The 20,726-nt window shown below is 40.8% G+C and overlaps 1 long non-coding RNA gene across 3 annotated transcripts in view, besides 1 other annotated feature; it reads right to left on the minus strand.

The window, feature by feature from the left end:
* Nucleotides 1-6,246: 6,246 nt before the first annotated feature.
* Nucleotides 6,247-20,726, minus strand: part of LOC105369496 (uncharacterized) — a 38,770-nt gene continuing 24,290 nt past the window's right edge. For all 3 annotated transcript variants that reach the window (XR_948018.3, XR_948017.1, XR_948016.1), the window contains 2 exons: nt 17,827-17,929; nt 6,247-6,643 (listed from right to left, as the gene is read on the minus strand). This is a non-coding gene — a long non-coding RNA (uncharacterized LOC105369496). The remainder of the gene's footprint in view (nt 6,644-17,826; nt 17,930-20,726) is intronic.
* Nucleotides 12,610-12,779: an enhancer, noted in NCBI's record as "experimental_18813 CRE fragment used in MPRA reporter constructs". NCBI's record gives its function as "activates a minimal promoter by MPRAs in K562 erythroleukemia cells, with activity observed for both the introgressed and non-introgressed 11:112575943 variant alleles {active_cell/tissue: K562}" and the evidence as "EXISTENCE:reporter gene assay evidence [ECO:0000049][PMID:34662402]".

Raw genomic sequence — 20,726 nt, forward strand, 5'->3', positions numbered from 1 at the left:
ATGTACAAAATATAATTTTGAGAGTGTCCCTAATATGTCCCTACAATTATTCCAAATATCAAGATAGGTTCCAAGTCATTCCTAGTGATTTTGGCTCTGTAGTCTCTGCTAGAATTGCCTTTACCAGTCAAGGAAGGGATACTGGACACAATGAAAGATTGCTGGCTTGGTTCCCATATTTGGCTCTCCCAAGAGACTTCCACAGGCTAGTATGAGGTTGGGGGAAAAAAGGGAATGGGGAAACAGCTAGATAACAGGAGAATATCTAGTATACCTTTATAACCTGAATCCATGCATGCATTTTTGGCTTCAACTTGCTTGTCCAAAGGCAATTCCTTATTATATAGCCTGGGACCAGATTTTGGCCACATTAAGCAATGAAATGAAGATGTAATCGCTTGTGTTTGCTTTTGTTTACACCCAAAGTTGTTAGATGGATGGCACGTGAATAGAGCAATCTTTCTGGGCCTGCTTTCTCACCACCCTTAGATATGACCACTGAGCTCCCTGTGGTTTGTGCTGGTTGCTCTCACATTTCTGCCAGCTTGGGGGACATCTGCCAATCACAGTTCACTGGGCACAACAGAAGTGAGGTGGGGAGAATCTCCCTGTACATGCCAATGCAGTTAGCTTCCTGACAGTGCCTTCACCCATCCATTCAGTTCAACTGTCCATTTATTCTTTCATTTATTTATTCACCTGATGGCCTGAGAGTCTCTGAACTTACAACCTGAGGATCCAAGGCCTTGAGTGACAGAGCTGTATGACAAAGCAGGAAATTTCCATAGTAAAATGTAAGGGTGAAACCTGAAGGATTTAAAAATATGTCTCTGGGACAAGATGGGAAATACTGAATTGGGGAGTAGGTGGGTTCATGGCAGGGGATTGTATCAATTAGGGTCCAGGCAAGAAAAGAGAAAAATCACTCTAGGTGTTTTAAATATAAGAGATTTAATGTAGGAGTTGTTTGCAAATATTTAAAGGGTTAAAGAGCAAAAGAAGGACACCGAGGCAATCTAGACATCACTATCCTCAGGAAGCAGTTACCACTCCTAGGCATGTGTGTAGTAGGAAGAGGTGGGATGATCGTCAGAGATGAGGAACATGGAGGAGAGCCCCCTGCCCCCCACCCCTGTGACTGGTTCTTGGGCATGCGGGGCAGGAGTGGCTCATGGCTGGACCTTGGACCTCTGAGAGGTGGAAGACGGTTGATGCTTAGTCACCAAAGGAGCCTATCCGTAGCCGGCTGGGGCTGGTATCTGAGACACTATACCTAGGGGGACCCAATGAGGCTGGCCACTGAGGCTACAGCTGTCTTCTTCTGCTGGAGAAAAGTTGACCAGAAGTGCAGACAAGAGGAAACACCTTCTCTCCTCCTACCGCCTTCTGCTCACACCCTAGTGCCTCCCATGGGCAGGATATAGCAGGAGGCCAGCTGGCAAGGGAAACTGAGAGTGAATTATTCAGGCCCCAGCATTGCAGAGCAGCACCTGGAAGGGTGAGCTCATAGCTGGGAGGCAGTAGGTAAATAACCAGCACAGGCACCCACAGTTGCAGTGGCACAGGGGTGGGGGTGCGCCTTGCTAGCTCCCAAGGGATGAAGTTGTAAGAATAGCAAGGAAGAGCCAGGGAAGTCACTGCCATTCAGCTGCCAGAGAGGGCAATTTCAAACACCTGGCCAGTCTCACAGAGCTCTTGCTCCTCAGGGCTCAATACAGGCCCAGCCCTTGATCTGGGCTTCAGCTCTGCAAACTCAAACTCCAGTCTGTGAATTCACTCTGGGTGATCAGGGCCACACCAACCATGTTGACTGGGATGAACCTGGGAAATGGTTACTGCTGCACCATACAGGAGGGGGCTTTAGCAACAGGACAAGGTATGTTGCCAACCAGCTTGCAGCCTCAGATCACAGCAGCCACACCCTGGAACAGTCAGATTCTCTGACTCGGCATTTCCTGGGCTCTACCACATCAACAGCTTTACATATTTCTGTTTATCTTCCTCTGATCACATTTCAATCTTGGGGACATTTGGGGGACACTTTTGTCTGTGCACATTTGTAAGCTAACCCCTCATGGAGTGCTACAGAGGACATCTGTTTTTTTGGTTTGGGGTTTCTTTTTATTCTCCTTATCCTTTATCCCCTTCCTCTATTAGCAAACTGACTTGCTCCCTCTCTCTCTCTTCCCTCCCCCATATCCCCCTTTTTTCCAGGTAGTTTTGATGAGTCTCAGTACCTTGGTCTCCTCTGATCACTAGGCTGGGAATAGTATCCATTACTCTGACCACAGGGCTTGAGTCAAGGGTAGGGGCATGAAAGCCAAGCAGCACCAATTGGTATCCTTCCCTGGAATTGTAAACACATAAGGCCTCTCTCTTTCTTCCAGGGTTCCCACACTGGCATGATGAAAGCCTGGAGCTGTCTACGAGCATACAGACCTTGGGGAAAGAGGAGGAAGTCATAGTGTAGCGCAAAGCTGAACCTCAAGAGGGCAGGAATGCTGATGACATCATTTGAGTCTCTGGGTCCACTCCGCCCTGTTCTTCCCAGTTATGTGAATCAACCAAGTCCCTTTATTCCTTCACCTAATGTGAACTGACAAATCTCATTCAATTTATGGCAAGGGAGTGAGATTTAATAATCTGGTTCTTAGATTCTGGAAATGATTCTTATTTAGTGCCAATACTCCTGTATAGGTGAATACATATCTATTTTTGAGAAATCAATACACATTTGTATGCCAAGGCCAAATTTTGAACTTTTCTTTTAACATCAGATATGGATTTTAGCCACACTAAGCAATGAAACTAAGATGTAATCACTTGTATTTACTTTCATTTGTACCCTAAGTCATTAGATGGATGGCATGTGAATAGAGCAATCTTTCTGGGCCTGCTTTTTCATCACCCTTAGATATGACCACTGAACTCCCTGTGGTTTGTGCTTGTTGCTCTCACATTTCTACCAGATTGGGGGACGTCTGCCCATCACAGTTCACTGGGCACAATAGAAGTGAGGTGGGGAAAATCTCCCTGTACATGCCAATGCAGTTAGCTTCCTGACAGTGCCTTCGCCCATCCATTCAATTAAATCATCCATTTATTCATCAGTTGTTTTTTGAGTTCAGACCCAGAGACAGTACTTGGTGTTGGGGACACAAGTGAGACACATGCCTGTCCTAACTAAGCTCATGGCCCAATGCAGAAAGCAGACCAGGCAAGTACACTAGAGTGGAGTGTTGCTGGGATAGAGGAAGTGCTGGGTGCTAAGGAAAACATAGAGGAGGCACCTAGTTCAGCTTTGCCAAGGAAGTGGGACACATGAATGGTGAGTGGGAGCTGGCTAGACAGAGATGGCAGAGTGAGGAGGCCATGGAGCCAGTGGAGGAGGAACAGATCACAGCTAGCAGATAAGAGCTCTTGGTAGAGCAAACATCAGGTGTAAAGACTGGGAGCTGAGACCTTTTTTTTTTTTTTTGAGATGGAGTCTCGCTCTGTCACCCAGGCTGGAGTACTGTCGCCTGATCTTGGCTCACTGCAACCACTGCCTCCCGGGTCCAGGCGATTCTCCTGCCTCAGCCTCCCACGTAACTGGGATTACAGGTGCATGCTACCACACCTGGCCATTTTTTTGTATTTTTAGTAGAGATGGGGTTTCACTGTGTTAGCTAGGATGGTCTTGATCTGACCCCGTGATCCGCCCGCCTCGGCCTCTCAGAGCTGAGAGGAACAAAGAGAATCTCAGTCCAGCTCAAGTTTTCAGCATGAAGGGACAGAGAAAAGGCTATCGTGGCTCATTTTTCCCTGTTGAAATGAGCAGCCATGGCAGCTCTTCCCTGGCACCAAGCTTGGGAAGTCGGCACCTTCTCCAGTCTTCATGTCAGCTGTGGAGATGCAGGGAGTCCTGCTTGCTAGCAGAATAAGAAAATGGATTCCTTCAATTCAATGCTATCCAGTCTGTAGCATTAATCCTCTCTTCCCCTCTCTTCCTGTGGAAAAGCTTACTGGCTCACCTATTTGGAAGGAGTCCTAAGGACAGGGAGGGTAAAGGAATGTTAGCAGGAAAGCTGCAGGAAGTTAGAGAAAGTCTAGGGCCAGTTTCTGGCAGAAAAAAAAAATTTCCCCCTTCCCCCTTGGGCAGTAAAGAAGAAAATTAAATGAGAGTGTCAAAACGGTTTGCTGATGTGCAAACCGCTTACTAGACCTTGGTCAAGGTCTAATATCTTTTTAAGAATGATGGCTTTGGAATTAGACCTTTTGGGGTTCAGATCTCAGCTCTTCCTTTTGATTGGCTGTGGAGCTGTGGGTAATTTGCTTAATCTCTTTGAGCTTTCAGTTCACTATGAAACACGACCATGTGGAGATTAAAGAATCAAATGTACTACCCAATACACAGTAGGTATTCAATAAATGACAGATATTATTACTTTTAGGTGATATAGATATCATATTTTTGTGAGGATTAAATATTTTAATCCGTGTAAAGTGATTGGCCCATGAGAAGCACATGTGTTAACTGTTACTACCACTGTTAGCTATTATCAGAGATAGCTGTGTATGGAGAATTCCTGAAACCTCCAATCCTCTGAAACTAGAGTCAGGAAACAGACTTTGACACATAGACCAAAAACAGAGGTGACAGGTTCATCTTATGTACCAACTGGCCAGTTGGCAATGAGTGCCTAGAATGTGCCTGAGGCACAATTCTAAGAGCTATCTGGCTCAGTAGGGAAGAGTATGCTATGATCTATTAGTGAGATGTCTGTTCTGGGTGGCAGAGAGAGTCATGTCAGCATGTGTGCTATAGATTTGCCTTCTTTAGACTGAAGCTTCATTCTAGACAGTTTGGGAGCCAGTAACAAAGGGCTGGGGCTGGCCTTGTCCACTTGTGCTAGTCTCCACTTGCTCCATGTTTTACTCCTAGCACAAAGTTGAGACATGGCCAGAGCCCAAACCCAGCTGCCTTTTCCTCAAGAAACTTTTGCTGGCATTAATCAAGACCTGTAAATCCACCATGTGGATGACACAGGCTGTGTGCCCAGCCCAGACTCTGCGAGCGACAGAAGAGGAGGGAGTTGCTTAGTGACATGACACAAAGGGCGTCTTTGATTCATCACCCGGCCCCAGCCCCAAGCCCCTGGCCAGCAGCGAGGAACGGCTGCAAATGAGCAATAGGACTCCTTTACAAATGTCACTTTGCTGTAAAATGTAAATGTTTAACATTTAGACACGAACGCTGACTCCCAAAATGCCTAGTGCTGGGTGGCTTTTATTCATTCTCTTAGGGATTCTTTGTCCTCCCATGGTGAGAGATTTCACTGCATGATTTACACCCCTGTGCTTGTTAAATTGCTGGCATGTCTTGCCCCAGATAGGGCAGCAAAAGAGCAGAGATTTGCAGGGGACTTTATACCTTTCCTGTTAATGCAGAGTATTAAATATACAGTGCAATTCCATCGGCAGCCACTGCTCAGAGGTGCTATGAACTCTGAACAGAGGAGATTTCATTTTATTTCCAATTATCCTGGACTTCAAAATATAGGATTGTGTCATTGAAGGTCGAGAAAGACCAAAAACAGCAATAAAATATATTCCCTGGGAGTTCTGTCTTCTAGACCTGCTCATCAGCTAATTCTGTCTTAGTGGTCTGGGACTAAGGGGCAGGTACATTGAGGATATGGGTGATTGTTCTTGGGGCTAAATTCCTTTTCCCCCCAAGACAATTCTAATGAGGGTAAGCCCTGTAGCCACTCTCAGCCTCCTGATGATTGGCCTTTGGATAAAGATGGACCTAGCATAAAAAGTAAGTCAAAGTTCAGACATCTGGCAAGACTCAGAGCCAGGCAAGGAAAGCAATAGGGTCACAGGAATCACTGGGCGTAGGGGCAGGAAGATCTAGATGGCAGTTTCACCCAACTTTCGTTTCCTCTAGAACATATTGTTTGTTGAATTTTTCTCTGCACCCACCCCACACTTGCTGCCTCCCACAGTTTTGATCACAGTAGGCACTTAATGCCTATTTGTTTAATTAATTAAATAAGTAGTGAGTCACTGGCAAACCTAGCGCTGGCTGAAGAGATTATGTCTAAAGTTCCAATGGCTGAATTTTACAACTTCGGACAAGTCTCTTAACCTCTCCGTATGAGATTTTATGTTATTCCTGTCACATTCTTTGGAAGTAACTGAGATAGAAAGAGATTATTATTAATTTACCAATAAGAAACAGAGGCTCAGACAGGCTACAGGTTTTTCTTGATATCATGTTGAGTTAGTAATAAAGTCAAAATGAAAATTCTGCTTTTTTGATTTCTCATTCGATTTTTGTTTTTCTTCAGTTCACCATACTGAATGTTCACACTTTGCACCATGAACCCAGGTGAGGTACCTATGATCATCCAGGCCAGGACCAGGGTGAGGCAAGTGAGGAGCTGAAGGTATTTGCAAAACTGTGAGAGTGGTGTCCCCTTCAATGTTGTGTCCTAGATGACTTGCTCACTTCACCTTTATCCCAGCCCTGGGGATCTCACATGTGGAAGCAGGGATGAAGGGGTAGTGCTCAAGAAAAGAAATCTGCAGGCGAGCTTCGAAGAATTCATTTTCTTCAGGACTAGTACCTGGAAGTCTGGGCTCTCAGAACAGAAAGCTGGAAAGGAATTGCTTTTTCAGAGATGTCAAAATAGCAAAGAAACATGCATGCATTTAAACACCAACCCAGGTTGAGTCTGGGGGCCCTCTTCTCATCCTTCCTCAGCAGGGTGACTGATGACACTTGCCAGTAGCTTTTGATCAAATCTGCCCCCATCAGAAGGTAGGGGGACCAGAGGACTTGGGGAATTCCTGTATGACTGATTGGTATGGTTTACTACCATGCAGGGTCTTTGTATTAGGATGCTTTTGATCACAGTGTGTTAGAAATGTATCTCAAACGATCTTAGGCACAAATGGGAATGTATTGGATGCATACTGAAAAATATAACTATAGATGGAAAGAGACCTCAGAAATCATTGGAATTAAGGAATTAAATGACCTAAGGAGTTTAAAAAAAATCTTTAGCCTCCATTTCTTTTCCCTCATTTGTGAGAAAGGGGTTTCCTTGGCATTGAGGAAAATAAAGTCACTAAAAGTTATCAAGCTTCATGTCCTAGACCCTGCCATCAGTGAAGAAGTAATCTTCTTCCCTTACTTGCAGTTTTCAAAACTCCACAGAAAGACTCTGATTAGCCTAGTTTGGTCAGGTGCTCACTTCTGTGTCTACTATTAGGCTCAAAATCATGTTCATATAGAACCAATACAGCCTCTGGGCCACTTCTGTGTATACAAGCTCTCACCAAGAGTGAGATCCTTGTGAGCTGGGCAACCAACTCAACCTAGCAATTTTCTCAGCCATATTCATGATCAGCAATGGTGCAATAGTGGACATTCTACTTTGGAAATCTGGCCCAATGAGGCTTGCAGAACCAAAGCAGGTGGAGGGAGTTACCTACAGGAAGCCCATGTTTTGTACAGCCCATGTAAATAATATAAAGCTCTGAGTTATTTCTAGGAATAATGTGAAATTCAGCAATTCTCATGGGAATTTCTTGGCTCTAAAACCTAGCACCTGCTTGGGCTATCCCCTAGAGCTTTACCGTCTCCCCAGAAAAGTGACAGTACTAGTTTTGGTGTCAATGAAATTCTTCCTTCCCTGAGCTGAAGTCTTTTTGTTGTTTTCAAGGAAAATCACAACCTGGCCCAACCCAAAAGCTCCACAGGGAACTCCGAGTTGTATTCCTACTCTTCCTTGCTTGGATATATTTTCATTAAAACCAGAAGGTCAAAAAAATTAAGAACATGTTCTCTAAAAATTGGGTTCCTGGAGTTCAATGGGTAGAAAGGCATAAACCCCTCTTTGAGAAACTTTTTCAATGAATCCAAAGAAGGGATATTAGAGGTAGTATAATTTGTTGGAAATAGCACAGATTTAGTTTTTAAAGTTATTTAAATTTTAAAAGCAGAAATATCTCTAAGCAAACTTGGGAAAAAGAGAATTTTACCAGTAATTCCTCCACAATAATATTGTTTTTGTGTTGACTCCTCCAGGCTTTCATATAAATGGTTGTACTTGGCATACATGTGATCCATGTGATAGGGAGCATGAAATGATGTACTATTATGCCAGTAAGCTCCTACTACCAATATGTTATGGTATTACGCAGAATGTATAATGGAAAGCCATCTCTAGGTTGAAACTTAATAAGGAAGTTATACTTCTTATCAAAGGAGTTTAGATATTTCCTCCCTCTAGAAACACTTATCAAGACCAAGGGGAATATAGTTGCATAAACAGTGCTTGGGGCAGAGAGAAAAAGCCATTCTTAGGATTAACAAATAAAACAAGCACCCCACATTTTATAGATGATTTTATAGAGAAACCAAGTGTTCCAGGTAAATCAGCTGGTTCTTAAAGACTCCAGTTCGAAAATGGTTTAAGCAAAGACTAGAACTTGAATAAGAAACAAAGAACCCTACAGAGCCAGACATTGCTGCTGAGCAATATGGGATGTATAAAAAAGGACCTGCATAACATGGAAGAAGGGGCATTTAGACGAGGCCAGACAGACTCTGTTCCATTACTAACATGAAGTTTTTTTTTCAGCTTTTATTTTAGATATAGAGGGTATATGTGCAGGATTATTACATGGGTATATTGCACCCAAGTAGTGAGCATAGTACCTAATAGGTGGTTTTCCAGCTCACTCCCCACTCCCTATCTCCCCTCTCTATCAGTCCACAGTGCCCATTGTTCCTGTGTTTATGTCCACGTGTGCTTGAACGTTTAGCTCCCACTTATAAGTGAGAACATGCAGTATTTGGTTTTCTGTTCCTGCATTAATTCACTTTGGATTTTGGCCTCCAGCTCCATCCATGTAGCTGCAAATGACATTATTTCATTCTTTTTTATGGCTACATAGTACACCATGGTGTATATCTATCACTTTCTTTATCCAATCCACTGTTGATGGGCACCTGCGTTGATTCCATGTCTTTGTTATTGTGAACACCACAGCAATGAACATGTAAGTACATGTGTCCTTTTGGTGTAATGATCTACTGTCCTTTGGGTATATACTCAGGGATTGCTGGGTCAAATAGTAGCTCTGTTTTAAATTCTTTGCAAATTCTCCAAACTGCTATTCACAGTGGCTGAACTAATTTACATTCCTTCCGACAGTGTATAAGCATTCCCTTTTCTCTGAAGTCTCACCAGCATCAGTTATTTTTTGACTTTTTAATAATAATCATTCTGACTAGTGTGAGATGGTATCTCATTGTGGCTTTGATTGGGATTTCTGTGATGATTAGTGATGCTGAGCATTTTTTTCATGTTTGTTGGCTGCTTGTATGTCTTCTTTTGAGAAGTGTCTATTCATGTCCTTTGTTCATTTTTTAATGGGGTTATGTCTTCTGTTTTTTGATTTGTTTAAGTTCCTTATGGATTCTACATATTAGACGTTTGTCAGATGCATAGTTTGCAAATATTTTCTCCCATTCTGTAGATTGCCGGTTTACTCTTTTGATGGTTTCTTTAAAACTAAAGATAGAAGCTCTTTAGTTTAATTAGGTCCCACTTGCCATTTTTTATTGTCGTTGCAACGTTTTTTGGGGACTTAGCCAAAAATTCTTTGTCAATGCTGATGTTGAGAAGGGTGTTTCGTAGGTTTTCTTCTAGGATTTTTATAGTTTGAGGTCTTACATTTAAAGGGAAAAGAACAAACCAACCCCAAGTTAGCAGTATAGAACAAATAACTAAAATTAGGGGAGACCTTAATGAAATTGAGATGCAAAAATCCATATAAAAGATCAATAAAGCCAGAAGTTGGTTCCTAAAAAAAAAACAAGATTGATAGACTATTAGCTAGATTAACAAAGAAAAAAATGAGAGTATCCAAATAAATACAATCAGAAATGACAAAAATGACATTACAACTGATCCTACAGAAATACAAAAGATCCTCAGAGAATACTATGAGCAACTCTATGCACACAAATTAGAAAATCTAGAGAAAATAGATATACATTCTTGAAAACACAATCTCCCAAGATTGAATTAGGAAGAGACTGAAACCCTGAACAGACCAATATTGAGCTCTGAAATTGAATCAGTAATAATAATTTAAAAAAAAAACTACTAACCAAAAAAATCTTCTGGACCAAATGGAGTCACAGCAAAATTCTACCAGATATACAAAGAAGAACAGATACCAATTCTACTAAAACTATTCCAAAAACTGAGGAGGAGAAATTCCTTCCTAACTCATTCTATGAAGCCAGCACCACCCTAATATCAAAATCAACAAAGGAAGAAAACTTCAGGCCAATATCCCTGATGGACACAGATGCAAAAATCCTAAACAAAATACTAGCAAACCAAATCCAGCAGCACATCAAAAAGTTGATCCACCATCAGCAAGTAACTTTATTCCTGGCAATATGGTGTGTCTCTGTGTCCCCACCCAAATCTCATCTCAAATTATAATCCCCATAATCCCCATGTGTAGAAGGAGGGACCTGATAGGAGGTGATTGGATCATGGGGATGGTTTCCCCCATGGTGTTCTCATGATATTGAGTGAGTTCTCAAGAGATCTGATGGTTTTATAAGTGTTTGACAGTTCCTCCTTCACACACACTCGTACTAGAGGGGTGATAAGGTTTGGCTCTGTGTCCCCACCCAAATCTCATCTCGAATTGTAATCCCCACTTGTGGAGGGAAGGGCCTGTAATCCCCATGTGTTGAGGGAGGCAGGTTGGATCATGGGGCAGGTTTCCCTATAGTGAGTGAGTTCTCACAAGAGCTGATGGTTTTATAAGTGGTGGTTTCCCCAGCTCTTTGCCCTCCTGCCATCTTGTGAAGAAGGTGCCTGTTCCCCTTCCACCATGATTGTAAGTTTTCTGAGGCCTCCCTGGCCATGTAGAACTGTGAGTCAATTAAACTTCTTTTCATTATAAATTATCCAGTCTTGGGCAGTTCTTTATAGCAGTGTGAATATGGACTAATACACCTGGGATGCAAGGTTGGTTCAACATATGCAAATCAATAAATGTAATTCACCACATAAACAGAATTAAATGCAAAATGACATGATCATCTCAATAAATTCAGAAAAAGCTTTCAATAACATCCAACATCTATTAATGATAAAAACCATCAACAGACTAGGCATTAGAGGAACATATCTCAAAATAATAAGAGCCACTATGAGAAACTCACAGCCAACATCACAGTGAACAGGCAAAAGCTGGAATCATTCCCTTTGAGAATGGAAACAAGGCAAGAATGGAAACAAGGCAAGAATATGCAGCATAGTACTGGAAGTCCTAACCACAGCAGTCAGGCAAGAGAAAGAAATAAAAAGTACTAAAGTAAGAAAAGAAATCAAACTATCTCTCTTCACTGACAATAGGATTCAATACTTAGAAAACCCTGAAGACTCAACCAAAAAGCAACTAGAACTGATAAACAATTTTAGCATGGTTTCATGATACAAAAATCAATGTATAAAAATCAGTAGCATTTTTATACAGCAATAATGTCCAGATTGAGAGTCAAATCAAGAGTACAATTCCATTTACAATAGCCACCAATTCAAAGAAAATGAAATAATTAGGACTATAGCTAACTAAAGAGGTGAAAGGTTTCTACAAGGAGAACTACAAAACACTGCTGAAGGAAATCAGAGATGACACAAATAAATGGAAAAACATCCCATGCTCAGGGATTGGAAGAAGGAATATTGTTAAAATGGCCATACTGTCCAAAGCAATTTACGGATTCAATGCTATTTCTATCAAACAACCAATGACATTCTTCACAGAATTAGATAAAAATTTTCTAAAATTCATATGGAACCAAAAAAGAGCCTAAATAGCCAAAGAAATCCTAAGAACAGAAGAAGAAAGCCAGAGGCATCACATTACCTGGCCTCAAACTATATTATAAGGCTACAGTAACCAAAACAGCATGGTACTGGTACAAAAACAGAGACATCATCCAATGGAACAGAATACAAAATTCAGAAATCCACACATTTACAACCATCTGATCTTTGACAAGACTGACAAAAACAAGGAATTGGAAAAGGAATCCCTACTCAATAAATGATGCTGGGATAATTGGCTAGCCATATTCAGAAGAATGAAACTAGACCTTTACCTTTCACCATACACATGACAGTTCTGAAGAGGAATTGGAAGCTTACAGCTTTGTAGTATGTATGTATTTATTATAAGTAATTTGGGTTTAGAATTTCAACAATTCCTTTCATAGTCTTAATAAAGTCCTCTGTTAAAGAACTCCTCTGGCATTATCACATTCCTAATTTATGTTTACTCTATTAGGGCATCAAAACCAGATATACAGCAATGTGCACTGTACTCACCCTGACAATACTGGCATTTTAATGTGGTGGGCTACATGTTATGTTCTGCCAGGCTAGGCAAGAGGACACAGGGACTAGCATTTACCTTAGGAAATAACTATCTGAAGTCCATACTCCTGAAAAATCTGTTGTACTAAACCCCACAGATATCTCAGCTACCTATGTTTCTTTGCATCACAAATTTCTACCATCTACTTATTGATTAGACATGAGAGGTGGGCCAAGAAAAGGTGAATTTCAGAATGATGATATGTGTGTCACCAGCTATGGAGAGATGAAGAATAAAGAATTACAACCATCTGGAGCCAGATCTGTCTCCAGTTGGAAAGCTGGAGCATCTGTTGGCACTGGAATGTCCAACACAACTTCTTCACTGGCATGACGAGTGCCTGATCTATGGTGGCTGGAACAGCTGGGCTAGCCAGGATCTCTTTCTCCACATGGCTTGTGCAAGTGGCTAAATTGGGCTTCTGCATAGCATGGTGGTCTCAAGGTACTTGAACTTCTGCAGATAGATGGCTTCCTCCAGAGCAAATGTGCCAAGAGGCATGGATCGAAGTTGCAAAAGTTCTTATGACTTAACCTGAGAAGTCCCAGAATGTCCCTTCTGGCATATTCTTTTTTGCCAGTCAAGAAAGGCCTTAAGGTCAGCACAAATTCAAGGGGAGGTAAATAGTTTCTACCTCTCAGTGGAAGAAGTAGCAAAGAATTTGTGACCATCTTTAATCTACTGCAGTCATATAGTGGATGAACTCAAGAAAATATATAAGTTCTTTGAGTTCTAGGCCAAGAGTGACAATACTCTAACCAGCTTTGTTAGCCTCCTGTTGCACTGGTCCCTGAAGCTACCAACAAGGTATGCATGAGGTTCACTCAAAGTCAGAAGGTTAACTTGACAAGCTCAATGAATCTCAGTATTCACCTCACAACAGAATTATCTGGGAAGTTGTCTTAGTCCATTTGCGTTGCTACAAAGGAATATGTGAGGCTGGGTAATTTATAAAGAATATATGTTTATTTGGTTCACAGTTCTACAGGCTGTACAAGAAGCATGATTTCAACATCTGCTTCTGCTGAGGGCCTCAGACTTCTTCCACTTATGATGAAAGTTTAAGGGGAACTGGTATGTGCAGACATCACATGGCAAGAAAGGAAGCATAAGAGAGAGGAGAAGGCTGTCATGCCCTTTTTAACAACCAGTGCCCACAGGAACTAACAAAGTAAGAACTCACTCAATAACTCAAGTGTGACATCAAGCCGTTCATGACCCACATACCTCTCACTAAGCCCCATCTCCAACATTGGGGATCAAATTTCAACATGAAGTTTGGAGGGTCAACTATCCAAACTATAGCAGAAGGTTTGTTTTGATTTGATTTGTTTTGTTGTGTTTTTCATATAGATGTCTGGGTATCTCCTCTACAGAGCCTGATTAAATTGGTCTGTTGGATTTGGGTAGTGTTATTTTTTAAGTTTCCCAGATGATTCTCAGCCCAGGGTTGAGAATGACTTATGGCTTCTTCTTGGACTCAGGAGACTGCATAGATGGGTGCTATGGAGTGAGGAGCACCTTCTGGGGTTGTGGTGGGGTCAGAAGTAACTGAACAGGATCTAACAGGTTTGGGAAAGCCTCTTATAACACAATTCACAATTTTCTAACCTGTTTAAACACACATAGGCAATATATTTGTGTGTGCATGCATGTGTGTATATATATATCTTTATAAATTTCATTATACATGTAATATTTGTATAATAATATAAAAATATATATTTATATTTATAAATGTAACTTTAATCACTGTATAGTATATTAGCTTGTAAATTACCTAACTATTCCCATCTTCTCAGATATTTGTGATTGTTATTGTTGTTGAAATAAAACTAATATTTTTTAACACTTAGCCCTTTGCTTCTCTTGAATTATTCTCTGAGGACTCATTTGCCAGGGTAGAAATCTGAGTTTTCAGAACTCTTGGTTCTGATGCTAAATTAACCATGTGATCTTGGTCAAATTAGTTCACCTCCTTTGGTTTATATATTGAAGGGATTGAGACATATGGTCCTTTCTAGATCTAAAATGCTTTGACCTCAGGGGTACATCAGCAGGGGTGCCACATTGCGCAATTCCAGGACACCAATATTGAACAGCCAAGCAGACACATGCAGTTTTAGGAATTTTCCTTCCTAAAAGTCTTACCCTGTAATGCCCATCACATGGCTGAGACACCTGGGTTTTACTGCAGATTGATGAAATCTCTGGTACAACAAATACCCACTCAGTTAAGTGACTGATGTTTTCCTTTCAGGCTAGCTGATCTTTTTTGTTTTTTTTTCCCAGAGGATGATATCTGGGGCCTTTCCCTTACCAGTGACCTTCCACACTCCCTTCCCCACCCCTACTCCCTACCCACAGCCCCTTAGATTTACCAGTGTTTTAGGAAAAGCCACAGGGATGACAAGGATCCGGAGCAATGCCTTTTAAACTTGAGAAAATGCCCAGAGAGTTCTTTAAAATACAGATTCATAAGCCTCCATATCAGAGGTTCTGACTCAATAGGTCTGAGATATGGCCTCAGAACTTGTACTGTTTTTGTTTTGTTTTGTTTGTTTGTTTTCAGACAGGGTCTTACTTTGTCACCTAGGCTGGAGTACCAAGCTGTCCATTGAGGCTGATGCTACATTTTTAGTATAAGTAGGCTAAAGCAATCTTAATCAGTAAAAAGTGACCTTTTGAATTCATTGTTTGCTTCTATTTCCTACTCATCTGCTCTCCCACTTGGCCTCCAGGTTTGCTATGTATGCAAAATGTCTCTACTGAGTAGGGAAAGTGGGATGGCAGCCATTTCCCTGCTCCTGAGGTCAACATGGCCTAAGGACTTCAGCAAGCCCAAATATGTACAACAGTATCCGGCCCACTCGCGCCTGGAGGGGGCCATGCTGGTAGACTCAGTCCGGGTGCCCAGCAACAGTGATTCTGGCTAATGGCTCCCCGTTGGAGCAGTTTCCTGAGGTTCCTGCTAATCCTGTTATTTGCAAAGAGCCAAAGCCCCCATAACAGCAGTTTTAAAGCTTGCTTCTGGCTGTATTAAGTTAGACCTTGCAAGGGAGATGAAGGCAGCAGCATCCGACACTGAAGAAATGGCTCCAGAGGAAAAGAGCCAATATCCATGGGTCCTCTGTATTGATCTCTTTCTTTGCCTCTCCTGGAACACCCACTTTGCTCTCTTTTGGCTGCTTTAAGTCTATTCCAAATACCACCAGAGAACATATTAATTCCTTTTTAGTCTGAACTGGGGTTGGGAAACTTCCTTATTCAGAAGAAATCAGGTGTGGTAACTACTATTGATTGCCTTGTATTTATTTTCCACTTCATCCCTTTCCTTCCAAGGAATGTTGATATTATTCCAACCCAAGGAATCCTGAGTTTATTTCTGTTTCTGCTCTCTTCCATTCAGTCACATGCTTCAAGGGTGGTTGTTCTAAGTCAATCATGGTGGTCTTATTTTCCATATTAGTGATTGGTTTAGGTATGAGCATGGAACATAATTCTGGCCAATGAGACCTGAAAGGAAGTCCACCAGGAGGCTTCTAGAGATACAGAGGAAGAGGTATACAGGAAGAGATCTCTTCTTCCTTTGCATGTTGACATGTCTGGTGTGATACCTGGAACTGTGGAACTATCTTGTGACCATGAAAAAAGCTGGTCTGAGAACAAAACTGACGTACTGAAGATGGAAGAGTATCAGAATGGAAGAACTTAGGTCCCTAAACAATTGAATGCCCTACCTCAAGACTTCCTCTTGCATAAGATAATAAATATTTTATTAGTTAAGTAACTCAGACTTGTGATTTTTCTACCACTTGTATCTAAAGGATATATACATATACATGCATATATGTGGAAAACACTTACTAACATATGAGAAAACAAAACAACACCCAAAACTTATACACAGGCAAGAAAGAACTTTACAGGGTTCAGATATCTGATTCAAACTCTAAAGGCAGACTTCATGGCACAATTCACAGGACATCTAATTCTACTTATCATTTCTCAGCCATCCAGACCATTGACCCAGGAAGAGAAAGGCTGGTGCAATGCCAGTGTGTGGCATCTCGGCTCCTCGCAGATCCAGCTTCCTAGTCCTTGCTTGGTGTAAATTTCCACTTGGCAGTGGGTTTTGCTCAGAGGGTGTCCTCTTCAGCCTTCGTGGGCCCTGCCTGACCCCAGCACTCTGAAGGAGGATGGGATATGTATCTCTGGCTCCTAAGGATTCTTCTTTCTGGGCTTCAGGTCAATTGCACTGACTTTGAAGAGAGCTTTGTTCTGAGCAGTCTCTAAAAACATCTGAAGACTTGCTGTGACGTATTACTTTCTTTCCTATCCAAATTGACTAAAGCATATATAAGAAAAGCAATGATCTCTTTTTCTTTTTCCTTTCTTTTCTTTTCTTCTCCTTCTTCTTCTCCTTCTTCTTCTTCTTCTTCTTCTTCTTCTTCTTCTTCTTCTTCTTCTTCTTCTTCTTCTTCTTTTTTTTTGAGTCTCCCTCTGCCACCCAGGCTGAAGTGCAGTGGCATGATCTCAGCTCACTGCAACCTCTGCCCCCATTGCCCCGCTACTCCTACCACCCCACCCCGCCAGGTTCAAGCAATTATCCTGCCTCAGCCTCCCGAATAGCTGGGACAATAGGTATGCACCACCACGCCTGGCTAATTTTTGTATTTTTAGGAGAGATGGGGTTTCTCCATGTTGGGCAGGCTGGTCACAAACTCCTGGGCTCAAGCGACTCATCCGCCTCAGCCTCCCAAAATGCTGGGTTTACAGACATGAGCAACCATGCCCGGCCATCTCTTTTTCCTAATGAAAGTCAAACCCAGATATTCAAAGTAGCCCTTGGATGTAGTGTTGAACCTGCATGTGAAAAGCAATCACTGTGCCTCATGTCTCTGACTCAGGTCACCACAGAGTCACCTTTTTCACTGCCCTGGCTGCCACCACCACACTGGGCTGACTGGGTGGTGGCATTCCCCCTTTAATGAAGATAGGACCCCCTCTAATTATTCATAGCCCCTGTGAAATTGGGCTAGAACACTTGAGTAGGCTGTTGTAAAGTCTCCAAGATAACAAAAACGAAACAAAATAACAACACTAGAGTACCAGTTTGTATGGCATAGTTTGTTCACCTTCGGTTGGGTTCCTGCCCTTGCAGTCTATGTGTATCACTGAGAAACAAATATGTACACTAAAAATGATAGTATTGGGAATTACATATAGAGTCATGAAATAAACCAAGGAAATTTGGTGTTTGTTGTTTTCCAATAGTCTACACTCCAGTAGTGGACACAACATGAGTTATTTCCCAGAAGCCTTTCCCACTAAATTCCCCAAAGTATAAATACATACCTGAACTACTGACAGTGAGCAGGAGGAGGCTTTGATTGCAGGTGCCACCTCTAGAATATTCCTGAATCAAGGCTGCATGCAATAGGATTATGTATAAAATATTCTAGGAGAAGACAGAAAGGGGTAGGAATTGCTTAGGGATAAAGACGATATTAACACATATAAGGCAATTAAGTTTAGAAAGGTAGAGATAAATCTTTTTTTTTGGCAGAGAAAAAGACTGTAGTCTTGGAGGATAACAGAAGAACAGTTTATATCAACTAATATTTGAGCTCCTTGAATAAAGGACTTATCCATTTTGTCTGCTTGACAGTGAGTGAATGAATACATGGCAGAAGGCTTATAAAACCTAGAGAGAAATCAGGATATAGGTGAATATAATCATATTTTGTTGCAAAATTCAAATGAGATCCCATGGTGAAATTGGAGGGGTAGTTTCTAGTAGTTAAAAACAGATTTCCAGAGAATAAAAGGAGAGACAGTTCAACTTGTTTTAGGAGACTAGTATAATCTTGGTATCTAAACAGATAAACACTGTATAGAAAAAGAAAATTATAGATCAGTCTTATTGAAAGCATGCATATAAAGCATGCATGGAAGCATTCTAAATAAAATGTTAACTACTTAGATTCAGCAGTTTTAAATAATATAAACTAATCAAATACAGCTTATCCCTGAAATTCAAAGTTGTTGTTAGAAAATCTATCAATAAAATTTGCATTAAAAAAGGAGCAAAATCATAATCATTTTAATAAGCACAAAAATACTAAACGTTCAAAAGAAATCATTATTTTATAAAAACTTAGCAAACTAGAAATAAAATGGGACTTCTGTTTGCAAACTTTTGATGCAATGAAGGGTATCTAATAAAAACTTAAAACAAATGTCCACTATTCAGTGATATGCTGATGGTCTTAATGCAATAAGACAAGAAAATGAAACTAGATATATGGTTTGGAGATGATGAGAGAAAATGTCATCATTTACAGATAATGTGATCTTTTATATAGAAAATCCATAAGACTCTGCTCTTATGACATATCAAGACTGCATGTTTTTGAAAATTAATCTGCTGGAGTATGTTAAACTTCCTTGTGTATATATTTTAAAAGAATAAAATATGCCTTTAACCATGTTCTTAATTTTAAGAGAACTGCACATTTCTTTTACAGGATGAGATGGAGACAGAGAAGGAATGTCATAGTGAATCACTCATCACCAAAGTTGTTTATAATAAACATCTTTACAAATTTAGTTTTCCATAATAAAGATATGCTAGCTTCAAAGTTACAAGTCAACAGTCCTTAGAACAAACAAAACAAATATATGAATAGTGTAGGAAAGCTTTTGGTCTTTTTAGCAAACAGATTTAGGGAGAAGCTCAACTTTATTCTAGCAAGATTTAGATTAAATATAGAATTAACTTAATTTTTAAGACAATCAATTTATAAATAAATATCAATCTCTTATTATCTAAGAGTATGTAATAACTAGCTGAGTATTTGTCTTTTGAAAACATATAAATCAATCTTCTACTTTTCAAACATTCTATTTAAGTTGTCATCTGAAGCCTGTACTTTCTATATTCCACATTATTTCAGGCCATGTCTAAATTAAAGAATATGGAGCTTAACATTCATGTTTCCACACATCAGAGAACCCATTTAAAACTATGAAAAGAGCAAGAAGTTTGCTGGATCAACATACAGAAATCAATACAATGCCCATACATTAGTAATGATCAATTTGAAAAAGGCAATAGGCAAAATTATCTCAACAGCAAAAACAGCTATAAAGTTGCCTGGAAATACAACAAAAGATGGATAAGATCTATGGAGAAAGACTCATAATTGTTATTGAAGGACAAAAAATAAAGCATGAGGAAAAAAAGAGATATACCACTGACAGGGGTTAAGCTGTATCTCTCTAAAAAATATGTCCAAGTCCTAACTCCAGTACCTTGGGATGGGGCTTTATTTGGAAATAGGATCATTGCAGATGTATTTAGTTAATATGACATCACAATGGAGTAGACTGGACCCTTAATCCAATATGACTGATGCCCCTATTAGAAGAGAGAGAGACACAAGGAGGAAGATGGCATGTGAGGTCACAGACACAGAGAGAGGAAGATGGCCATGTGAAGATGGAGGGAGAAATTGAGAGATTAGAGTCATGCTTTCACAAGTTGAAGAATGCCTGGAGCTATCAGAGGCTGAAACAGGCAAAGGAGGATTCTCCCTTAGAGAGAGCACAGCTCTGCCAACACCTTGATTTCAAACGTTTAGCCTCCTGAACTGTGAGACAATACGTTACTGCTCTTTAAGCCTCTCAGTTTGTGACACTTGGTTAGGGCAGCCCTAAGAAACTAATACCACCACTTACAATGAAGGGAATAGTTTGATATCACAAATATTCATTCTTTCATTCAACAAATATTTATTGAGCTCCTGCAACACACCAAACACACAAATAATTCTTCAGTTAATAAAAAAAAGATTAAAATCTTGTTACCAAGCAATCAATGGGCTCACTGCTCCATGCACTTAGAGGTCGATACCATGGCACATGCCTTTGAGAAAAGAAAAGCTTCATTGCAAGTAGACTGGCAAAGAGACAGGAGGAAATGCTCAAATCTGTCTGCCTGAGCTCAGGGCTGGGGTTGGTTTTATAAATGTAGGGTAATGAAGCGTAATCTTATTGGATCCTGCAATTAGGTGATGCTAGGAGGCATGATTTGACTGGATCCTGCCATGGGATGATGCCTGGGCTCAATCTCATTGGATTCTGTGTCCTGCCATGCAATGTCAGCTTCTTAACTCAGTTCCAGCTCCTCAGTCCCAGCAGTTAGGTTCCACTGGTGGTTGCACACTTGGTTCATCTGAGCATGCTCAGGTTAT

Source organism: Homo sapiens, chromosome 11, assembly GCF_000001405.40.
Source record: "Homo sapiens chromosome 11, GRCh38.p14 Primary Assembly".
NCBI lineage: Eukaryota > Metazoa > Chordata > Mammalia > Primates > Hominidae > Homo > Homo sapiens.